This window comes from Homo sapiens, chromosome 4 (genome assembly GCF_000001405.40).
Source record: "Homo sapiens chromosome 4, GRCh38.p14 Primary Assembly".
Taxonomy (NCBI): Eukaryota; Metazoa; Chordata; class Mammalia; order Primates; family Hominidae; genus Homo; species Homo sapiens.
The window spans coordinates 33984990-33997068 of record NC_000004.12 but is presented as its reverse complement, the minus strand read 5'-3'; the positions used below and the strand labels follow the sequence as shown (position 1 = coordinate 33997068).

The 12079-nt window shown below is 34.8% G+C and overlaps 1 long non-coding RNA gene across 1 annotated transcript in view, besides 1 other annotated feature; it reads left to right on the top strand.

Annotated features, from left to right (window-relative positions):
* Nucleotides 1-12079, top strand: part of LOC101928622 (uncharacterized) — a 143555-nt gene that overhangs the window by 42825 nt on the left and 88651 nt on the right. The gene's annotated exons all lie outside the window — the stretch shown is intronic.
* Nucleotides 600-1101: an enhancer, noted in NCBI's record as "NANOG hESC enhancer chr4:33997590-33998091 (GRCh37/hg19 assembly coordinates)". NCBI's record gives its function as "activates a minimal SCP1, AML or CMV promoter by ChIP-STARR-seq in naive H9 embryonic stem cells {active_cell/tissue: H9 hESC(naive)}" and the evidence as "EXISTENCE:reporter gene assay evidence [ECO:0000049][PMID:30033119]".

The following is a 12079-nucleotide window of genomic DNA, read 5'->3' as shown; positions in this document are numbered from 1 at the left end:
TTTGGCTTAATTTCTTAAAGTATTACCACACTTACCCAAAGGTGGCCGTTGGGTCAGGGTTTTTGCATTATAGTCCCTTCTGTGGTCACCAGAAATATGTTATAGGAATAGGGTCCCAATCCAGACCCTACGAGAGGGTTCTTGGATCTCATGCAAGAAAGAATTCAGGGCAAGTCCAAAGTGAAAAGTGAAAGCAGGTTTATTAAGTAAGTAAAGGAATAAAAGAATGGCTAATCTATAGGCAGAGCAGCCCTGAGGTCTGCTGGTTGCCCATTTTTACTGTTACTTCTTGATGATATGCTAAACAAGGGGTGGATTATTCATGCCTCCCCTTTTTAGACCATATAGGGTAACTTCCTGACATTGCAATGGAATTTGTAAACTGTCATGGTGCTGGTGGGAGTGTAGCAGTGAGGACGACCAGAGGTCGCCCTCATCGCCATTTTGGTTTTGGTGGGTTTTGTCTGGCTCCTTTATTGCAACCTGTATTAGCAAGGATTTATGACCTGTACTTTGTGCCAAGCTCTTATGTCATCCTGTGACTTAGACTGCCTTAATTGTCTGGGAATGCAGCCCAGTAGGTTTCAGCCTCATTTTACACAGCTCCTATTCAAGATGGAGTTGTCCTGGTTCATGTGCCTCTGACATTAATGCTGTACCTTCAACTATTATTGCAAGAAATCAAGAGGATGTTAATATTCCCCTCAGCTTGACTAATCTTTAGACAGGATTCTTCTTATTCTAGGCCTCTGACCTCTCTTTTCTTAGAACATTTACATTAGAACACTTATCATTCCATATTATCTCTTCGCCCCTTTGAGATGTAAATCTTGTTAAAAGCATTTTGCCAGTTTAGAATTTAGGAATGTCTTCCTAAAGGATCTGGGAACCATCTCTTTGAAATGTAAGTATTTGAGGAGATATCACCCCACTTTCCAATCTCCTTGGGAGGGCAGACTCCTAACATCAATGGGTACCAATTAGCAAACACAGATGACATAATCTCAAAGAAAAACATTTGAAAACTCAGGAATAACTAAATGTGATCCATACATCCCACAGATCTTGCAAGACGTTTTCTTGCAACATCTTGCAAGACGTTTTCACTGGCTTACCCTAGTATATAAAAACTCTCCCACTTCTTGTTTCATCTGAGTTGAGTTCAGAGTGAGTTCTGGCCTCTATCGCCTACTGCAGTGGCTTTGAATAAAGTATTCCTTGTCTATTTAACTTTATCCAGTGCAATTTTTGATTTGACAATAGTTATCAAAAAAGTAGTCATATCAAATTGATTTTTCATTTACCCTGTAGTTGTTATAAAATCTATTACCTGTGGATTTTGTTTTTGTTGTTTTGAGATACAGTTTCACTCTGTCACTCAGGCTGGAGTGCAGTGGAGTGATTTTGGCTCACTGCAACCTCTACCTCCTGGGCTCAAGCCATGCTCCCACCTCAGCCTTCCAAGTGTCTTGGGCTACAGGTGTGTGCCACCATGCTTGCTAGTTTTTATATTTTTTGTAGAGATGGGGTCTCTCCATGTTGCCCAGACTGGTCTCGAACTCCTGAACTCCAGCAGTCCACCAGCACTGGCCTCCCAAAGTGCTGGGATTATAGGCATGAGTCACTGACTTGGCCTATTATCTGTTTTGTGATTAAGGGTCTCTGTGTTACAGGATTCTCTCTTCAGTTCAGTTAAAGATGGGATCCTTGTCACATGGCCATGAAAAATTTGTCTTGCAGACAATTTGAAGGGTGAGGAAAATGGGATTTATTGGGAAAAAAGGGGAAAAGGGACCCTCCACAAATCCAGAGTCCCTGCTGTTCACTTCCTGCCTTGCAGATTGAATACCAGGTTCTACCCAGGAAGAGGAGGAGCCAGGCTCTTCCCTGCTGCAAATGGCACAAACTTCCTGAGGCTCCACCACAGTGCACACCAATCCCAGTGTGCAGTTTGGTTGGGGGTTTGCCAATAACCCCTTTATATGGGCTGTTTCACGGGAAATGACTTTCATAGGATGATCACAATAAATGCTATTTTTTATTGTTTTTTTCAATGGATAAACTTTATGTTGTTGAGTTATTGATGACATATTGAAATGGACTTTTCATTATCATTGAGGAAAAAGTGGCTTCCCTTTACCTTCCTAGATTATTTCATTAGACTACAAATTAAATGATCATAAAACAGATTACCAACAAAAAAACTATAGTTAACTATGTACATGCACAGGAGTCCAACAGAAATATGAGATTCAGTGAAAAGCCAGATGATTGATGCTTATATAGCATTCTGAGCTATAGAAAAATATTGAGGCTTGGGATTTCTGAAGGTTGGTGAAGACAAGTTATAAGGGTGAGGGGTGGAGATGTATGGTAAATAAATGTTGTCTTGTTCTGCAGATCAAAAATCTCTCAGGTAATAAAATTGTCTCAGAGGAGCTATCTTCCTGTATTGGACATCTGTATTAAGTACTTTTACTAAAGCAGTGAAGAGGCAAGGAGAAAACTTCCCCTTCACCCTTGGAAGCTTCACTGAAAATTCAACTCACAAAAGAAAGATTAATAAGAGAAAAGCCATCTTATTTATTAAGGTGCACATGGAGAGATCCGGAGTGATTACCCAAACCCCTAGTGGAGTATAGAAGCTTATATACCACCTTGAGGTTACAGATAGAATGGGGACTCAGAGCCCAGGCAAAAACAGGTCATGGTGGTAAATCAAGTTATAGTAGCAAGGCAGGTTATGGATGGAAGAGAAGTGGAGGCTTGGCTAGCAAAGGTGACCTTGTAATGTAAATGAAACCTTGCATGTAGCTGCCCTCAGATAGAATAGATGGTATATATTTCTTTCAGGCCTTTAAAGCTGTCAGACTCTCAGTTACTCTTTGCTAGATCCAGGAAAGGGAAGTCCAGGCTACATCAATGCAGATTGTCCACAGATGCAAATCCCTGACACAAAAGACAGCTTTGTAAGGCTACATCTGTTTGCTGGCTCTCTGAACAGCCATCTCCATGTATGCCAAATAACCATATTTTGGGGTATGATATCCTTCAGGTCTGTGTCCCAACTCAAATCTCATCTTGAATTGTAATCCCTGCGTGTTGAGGGAGGGACCTGGCTGGAGGTGATCGAATCATGGTGAGGTTTCCCCCATGCAGTTCTTGTGATAGTGAGGGAGTTCTCATGAGATCTGATGGTTTAAAAATATGTGGCAGTTTCCCCCTTGCTGTCTCTTTTTCTGCCCCCTTGTGAAGAAGAAGGTGCTTGCTTTTCCTTCACCTTCCACCGTGATTGTAAATTTCCTGAGGCCTCCCCAGGCATGTGGAGCTGTGAGTCAATTAAAACTCTCTTCTTTATAAATAACCCAATCTCAGGCAGTTGTTTATAGCACTGTAAAAACAAACTAGTACAGCATAAAATATTTTTATTTTCTTCAGTAGATTTTCTTTATAGATTACAAAAGGACAGTTTTCAGAGCTACTCCTTTGTCTGCAGTTTTTCAGGATAGCCAGCTGAAAATATACCAAACGAATCTACTTTGCAGTGGCACATTCTGCTCTCCAACAGTCATATGAGAGTTAGGCTCAGATGTACCCTGAGCCCTGAGAGTCCCAAATCACTGGTATAAACCAAAAGTAAAATTCTGAAGCCCCTTAGCCACCTGAATAGACCCTGTCCTCTCAGGCAAGAGCATTCCAAAGTTAACCTGAAAAACTAGTTGAGGCCATGATGGGAATGGGAAGCCAGCCGTGTCTCATTATACCCTCCTCTGTTTTGGAATTGCTGATAGAACAGACTCTGAGTCTGATAGGAAACATTTACAATATTCTCTGAAGCCTGCTACCTGGAGGCTTTGTCTGCATAATAAAACCTTGGTCTCTACAACCCTTTAACTTAACCCAGACAATTCCTTTCTATTGATTCTAAGTCTTTATATAATAACTTAATTCTTCCTACAAATTGCCAATCAGAAAATCTTTGAATCTAACTGTGACTTGGAAGCCAGTTGTCATGCCTTTCTGGAGTGAACCAATGTACATCCTACATGTATTGATTGATGTCTTTTGTCCTCCCTAAAATGTATAAAACCAATTTGTGTCCCAACAACCATAGGCACATTTTCTTAGGATCTCTTGAGGGCTGTGCTATAGGCCATTGCTCACTCATACTTGGCTAACAATCAATCTCTTCAACTATTTTACAGATTTTGGCTCTTTTTGTCAACATTGGTAAGAATATAAATTGTTATGATCTTGTAGAGAGCAACTTAATGTGTTTCAAGAATTTTATCACATTCACACTTTTTGACCAAGTAATTTCAGAACTAAGAATATGCACTAAGAGTAATCAGAGATTTACATAATTATTTACAAAAATGTTCCTAAATGTGAAACAATGAAATAATGTATAAAGTGTATCATATTTAGAAGAAAATTTATTGTAAAATATCAAATATTATTGGTAAAATATTTAATAGAATATATGTATTGTTGTTGTTGTTTTTAGTGCCAATTGGGAATAGAAAGAGTTTTGTTACGACCATATGCTAACCATATCAAAAGAAACTATCTAAGCAGTGGGTGATTTGAAGGCTCAAGAAGAGTTGTAAGGGTGAAAACTTGTGATACCTTTCCTCACCCATCATAGGTGTCACGGCCAACACTCCTATAACAAAAGACATATTAACAAGAGAAAAGCATAACAAATTTATTTAATCAAATATTTATGTGACGTGAGATTTCAGAAATGAAGGCCCAAGGACACAGGGAAAAGTGTTGTTTTATGCTTAGGTTAGATGAAAAATGGGTAGCCATGTAAAAAATCTAATTGGACAAAAGGGGATTATCTAGTGGTAATAGAACATTAGATTTATTAATTTAGTAAAAATTGAACTGTACCTGCAAGGTCTGTTTGTTCAGATACTTCTTTGTCTCTCTGTGTAGCATTCATTATTTCCAAATATGAGGCAAGACACCTCTTGCTCCATACCTGGGGCAACAAACCTGGAGGAAATAAGGGTGGTCAAGGGAGAAGGATGAGTGTGGCTTGTCCAGGTTTTATGGCTTTTTGTGGGGGAAGGTAGTTCTAGCTTATGTAACCTGCTTTGAGGAAGACAAACCTTGGTTTGTATGAATCACTTCAGGGAGAGAAAGGCAGCAGGAGATAGGAGTACAGGAGACGGTCAGACAGACTTTGCTTCTGAGGCTTCTATTTCCTTTATTTCAAAGTACTCAACATGCCCAAGTGCCATACTTTGGGGTAACGTTTTCTGAGCCGTAACAGAGTAAAATCTGTATATGAGGTAACAGTGCAGTGTGCTAGAGACACAGTGACAAATAGCTTTGTTAGTGGGGTAGCTATTTGAATAAGGCATCTTTTCCTAGAATCTGTCAATTCTCAAGGACAGCTTTAGGAAATATGTGCCTCCTCCCAAATTAACATGGAGATTTTGTGATGTTTATGTTTTTTCCGGGCAAGAAGTTTTTCTATTTAAGTCAGTTCTCAATGGATTAAATCTTCAAAATCTTAAGAACAAACCCATTTAAATTAATAGAAGAGCATCTCTTTTGTTGGACCAGAGTAATTTTTCAGCTATTCCAATAATAATATAGAGGTAGTATGTTTAGACATTCCTCTGGGCGTGGACAGCTTCCTGGTAAATTCAGGCTCATCATCTAAATATCATAGTTAAAAACATAAATGGAACAAAATGCTTTTATTACACAGGTGTCTTCCATTTACATTAGCCAATGTTGCTTTCCTCAAATTGTACACAATACCCACAATGTTGCTAAGAGTGACAGAGATTAATGGAATCAAAAGTTATCTCTCACTCATGCAGGTGCAAGTTAGATTTCAAATTGTATAGCCATTTGCTTTGTTCTAGGGAAAACTGTTTCTTCAGTAATAGCATTTTACTTTCTATGGTAATTGAGCTTTCCAAAAGCAAACTGCTTCTTCAATTATGTTTCATTGAATGAAATTTTTGCAGAGTATATGAAGAGTTCTGTTTCTTTAAACACTTTAAAACATTAGTTTACCTTTTTATATACTGCACAAGTGCAGTGAACTGAACTCATTAACTAATTATTATTTAATTGTGATGCTGAAAGCTAAAATATTACATTGCAAGAGCTTTTAGTGATCATTATTTAGCATTTTAAAGGTACTAAAAGCACTATTCACCCATCAAATTGTTCATTTGTTTAAAACACGTGCAACAAAAACTGAGTGTACCTAAAAGCACAAAATAAATCTGCTCCCTTGCACTTTAGTTAGATGAAGCAGAATGTGCACAGGTAAGGTCAGTAGAAACACATACACACACACACGCACACACACACACACAAACACAATATGTTTGATGTACTCCAAGAAGTGCAATAACACTTGAACGTACATTAATAACGTATCTTTGGAAAACACATGAATATAATTTTAAATCCGGAAACAGTAAAAAAGAGAATTGTCACAAGATTGGTTTGGATTTTAGTATCATTATATTAGAAGTAAACTTCATAATCATTTTAAGAACAGCAAACATCTGTCTTATTTTGCATTTCTTTCCTTTCCTTGTTTCCCTCTCTGCTTCTGGGCTATTAGAGTTTCTCAAATTGTTTGTATCACATAGATACCCATGTAAATGCTGCAGGGTTGACTCCAAGACTATATTAGACACAAGTGTGCTTGTATTTCAATTCTTGTAATTATAAGTGGCCCCACTTCAGCCTATTCGGTTTTCTATGAAACACAACGGAAAGCATCAAATTAGGGGAAAAGAGTGGCTCAGGAAGCCCCAAGCAATTAAGTGAATTAAAGAAAATTACTACTGGATGCTTTATGTACAGCAGGGGCTCTGTGCATGAAGAAATATAACTGCTAGTCACACCTGTACTGATTCTCACTGTGGAATTGAAATTATCATGAGTAAATATAATTACTTAGCAAATTTAATAAATGTTGTTTGGGATTCTGAAAACAGCACTTGGATCTACAAATTACACAGTGATAAATGTGGCAGCACAAGTTCAGTGGTATCTAATAGCACTAAAATATGTAGAGCATCCTGGAATGTACCAGGAAAGCTTATGAGTAAGTAAAAGTAATAAATTGCTACAAAAAAAATGGGTACTCAGTGTATGTCATAGTTACCCATGCTTTCATGTTTTTCTTTGATTATGTAATTTTCACAAAATTATTTTTTTCAAAATCCCCGGTAGTTTAGATATCCAAGCTGTCCTACTGAATTACAAATAAGTTTATTCCTAACAAGAAATTAATAAGTATTTGGTAACACTTGAAATGAAGTGCACTAAATAAGTATTTAATTAAGAAATAAAACAGTTATTGCTCTTGGGTTGTGATGATTGGCAATAATTGCTTTACATGATTTAATGGTTATAAAATTAACAGAGATAAGTAATAAAAAGAAGAAATTAAGCTACACTTTCTACCATAACTTTAATTTGTATGCTCTTAAGAATCATAATAATGATTGGTCTTTTATTAAATGAATATTAAGATAAACCTTCATATAACCTATCTTACCTTTGAGGAATATGTTGAATAATTAAGTCATAATTTATAATTAAAATGCAATACAATTTATTTTGTCAAAAGAAATAAAGTATTTATGTATTTTGTAACATTGCCATACGGTAAAAGCCTATTTAGAGTATAAGGCTTCTGCTATAATACTAATAACCATAAGTCTTCTACTTTAAATCAAGAAAATGTTAGAAAATGTTTAATAGCTTTAATATATTTAAACAATTCATCAACATTATTTAAAATACTGTTCTTTTGCTGGGGCTGTCATAACAACGTGCCACAATTGGGTGACCAAAAGTCACAGAAACATACTCTCTCACAGTTATGGAGGCTACAAGTCCAAAATCAAGCTTTCTGTGGGACCATGATCCCCACAAAGGCTCTGGGAATGAATGCCTCCTTGATCTTCTACCTTCATTCCTCATTTTGTAGACCTGGCACTGAAATCTCTACTTTCTTTATCAAGTAGTCTTCTCCCTTGTGTCTTCATGTCTTCATCTCTTCACATCATCTTCCTTCTCTGTATATTCACATCATCTTTCATCTGTGTGTGTGCCTATGTCCAAATTTCTCCCTTATTAGGGAAAGGAAATTATCTAGTATCCAATGTCTTAAGTTCAATAATGGATTTTGTGGCTGCACTAGTTTAATATGACTATATATGAACTTGATTACATCTATAATAATCCTATTTCCAAATAAGTTTACATTCACAGGTTCCGGGTGGGCATGAGTTTTTAGGGGCCACTAATTAACTCAGTAAAAATATAAAGTGTTAATGTTTTGTAAGTCGTATGGCTGACTTCTCCCTGTTTTGTCAGTGTCCTGCAATAAATAAAATTCCCACCTAGTATTCACCTATACACAAAAAAGAATATTTATTATGCTCTAATGGAGGAATCAGGGTCAGAACACTTATTCTGTGACCAGATAATACGTATTTTAGGCTTTGCAGACCACATGGTCTTTGTTACAACTACTCACCCCTGCTGTAAACAATAGGTAAATGGATTGGCATAGTTGGATTTGGCCCCAAGTCATGATTTTGCCCACCTTTCCTATGGTGGAAAGGAATTGTTTATTTTATTTTAACAGAGTAAATTTAAATATATATATAAAGGAAAATCTGTTCTTTGAAAGCATTGTCCACAATTTTTGAAAACCCAGATTTTATTTTTAAAGCTATTTCAAGACCTAGGAAACATAATGTATTTTAAAAATCAAACCCATATGAAGAAGTAAAGAAACCTAGAGAAAAATATATGTATATATTTGGGGTGAATTGTAAGTTCAGACACAAAGCCCTTCTGAGTGTGGGACACCATGTGACTGCACAGATATGCCCTTGAAATTGCTTCTGTCTGAAAGTATTTTCAAAATCTCGTTCTTTCAACATACTAGGTCTTACTAAGTGGGATTTTTATAAAGTCACTAATAATAACTCACAAATGGATCAAATGAATAATATATTACTTAAAGTGCCTCCTATAATGTTTTGGACATTGAGTGATGTCCCAGTACAGAGGTTTTTAGATGAATTTATTTACACCTTTAATAATATAAATATCAAGTGGTGATATTGCCCCAATATAAGGTTATTTTAAATGCGATTTAGTATATAATTAACAATATTATTCTTATAATCATAGTAATATTTTAGTCAAATATCAATAAATAACGTGCTATTGATTTATGATTGTTTTGTAGAAATAGTCAAAGTTCCAGCTATGAATCCTGAAAAGTCAACATTTAGTGAAAACTTTGGATCACTAAAAAAGTATACAACAACCAATTTTGTGGAATTGTTGTTGCAAGTCTCATTAAGTGTGATTAACAAAGGAGGTTAAATTTCACATAGCATAAACTTTTTCTGTTTTTTGTTTTGTTTTGTTTTGTTTTTAGTGTGAGAACTTTCTCTAGAAATAAAAAAAAAAAACTCATGTAATTTTCATTTTAAATATATAAACCTTGGCACAAAACTGAGAAAATGGCTGCTTCAATAGATATGAAACTTGCTTTCCCTTGCAAGGGTTAATTACTAAAGAAGAAATTCAAACTTAAATCAAACAATAAGCACTGCAATCTTAATTAAAAATAAACTATCAACTGGTGACTCCCGGTAGTTTAGAGATGACAAATATCAAATATGTGGTAAAGTGAAATGTAAAAAGTGGAAGAGGGTGATTATAAGGCAGGCCAGCTTTTAGATTTGCCATAGCAGAGATAAAAATACTATGACTGATTTTAAAATCTGTATGTTTAACTTTACCTAATGAGTTTTATGTGGAGGCAGATGAATAGAGTACAGAAAACAAAAAGTACATTTGCATAATGGAATATGTTTCTGCTTAACTGGCAAGAGAAAAGTATTTTTTAACCATTAACGCAAATATATACTGTTTCATTTTCTATTATCTGATTATTTTAAATAATGTGTCTGAGTACCAAATAGAAGGCTTTTTTCCTACAAAAGATCATTATATCATTTCATTTTTCCAATTCTGTATAAATGTCCAAGTTAGTTTTTTTTGAGGTCTTGCAAACAAAATAGACATCTAAATATCCAGATTTTTATTTTTCTTAAATTAATTCTGGTATTTAAACAATGTAAAATCTTCTACCACTTGATATATATTGATAATCCAGAATTCTGTTTGATGGCACAATAAAAATCACATTTGTGTTTTAAATTTTAAAAATGCAAGAGTTATTTATAAACTAAAAATTTAGACTCTTAGAATAAATTACGCAGTCTCAAAATACCATTGCACTCTCCTACAAGTGAAAAGCATAATTTTTTTTTATTAAAGAAGTTCAATCTTAGTGAAATAATTTACAGTAACCTAGTAGGGATGGTGTTTAAGAGATTGAGCAATACAATTCACTTGATTAAGATACATACATACAAAATTTTCTAACAGTTACTTTGAAATACATAGGCTTTCAAAGTTCATTTTAATTCTTTATTCTGAGTATAATATTTTTATTACAATGTTGAACTTAATTTTATAAAGACTTTTCTAAAGTATAATTATAACCCCTCATATATTTTCTAGACAATTGAAAAGAATATTTATAGATTGAAATTTTAGGCTTAAAACAGACCCTCTTAATATTTCAATCTTTTCTGAGTCTAAGCCCACGTTCCCTGATCTAACAGATAACTTTAAGAAAATGATAATAGTTCATGTCAAACAGGATTTCTGTCTCTTAGAGAATCACTTACCTTCCTCAAAGTCATTTTTGACCATGTATTGTGTTTAATATGAGATGGTTATTGAGTTACTTGATAAACTTCTAGTTTCCATACACAAAAGTATAACCATTCTGAATATCAAATACTTTGTGATAATAAAATTATAATTTACATCTATATTTTACTTTGTCTATTCAAAAAATGTTTGAAAAAATACATGGAGACTGTAGTCAGCATATTATTTCAAAATTAATACTAATGTTAATGTATGTTGAATACCTGTGATGATAGTAACTGTACATTCTGAAAAAAATGTTACTATCCTGTGTCTAATTGCTAAGTAAATCACTCACCATTTTTAAGCACTTATTGTATGCCATGCAGTGTGATATGTTGTGAAAGGATGTATAAGGTGACACAAGGTTCTATCATTAAAGACATGGGGAATAAACTTATCACAACAAATGATATCTAATGGCTTAAAAAAGAAAGAAAATATTCTGACAGTGTTAGAGTTTCAGGCTGGGGAAATAGTCACAATGATGATGACTAATAGATAATTTAGGCCTTAAACATAAATAGAACTTTATTAAGCATATACAGGAAGGGGAAACAAATCTACATAAAGGAAATAGTATGAAGAGAAGCATAGAAGATAAACATTTAAAAATACAAGAAATTTTAGGAAATTTTTAATGAGCAACCTAGAAAACAACTTGAGATTCTTCCTTATTTTTAATTTCCTATATACACCATTAACCTTACTGAGTCTTCCTCCAAAATGCCTCTTAATTTTATTACTTCATCTCTATTTGTGTTACTTTCTGAATAAAGTTCTATGTCATCATGATCAGGGATTCCCGCCTAAGGGTGATTTTCATGCATGAAGGATATTCGGCAGTGTCTGGAGACATTTTTGATTATCGCAAGTGGGGGAAGAGCGCTAGTAGAATGTAGCAGGTAGAGGCCAAGTATATTGGCTAAATTGTGGCCAATACTAATACACTGAAGAATATACTAAATATTCTACAATGCCTAGGTCAGGTTCCCACAACAAAGAATTATCTGTCCAAAATGTCAACGTACCAAAGTAGAGATAACTTCCTAACTTTATCTCTGCCTTAGAAATTCCTATTCTTGATTAGAAATCATCTAGTCATGTAATGAATTTGATCTACTATAAAATATCCAAGAAGAAATATCTATGAGACAGTTAAAAATCTAATGTTAGGCATCAACTAGGCATCAACAGGGAAATCATTTTTGGAGATACAAATTAGTGAGAAATAAATTATAAAGGTTCAAAATATGGAGATGGTTAACATTTTCTA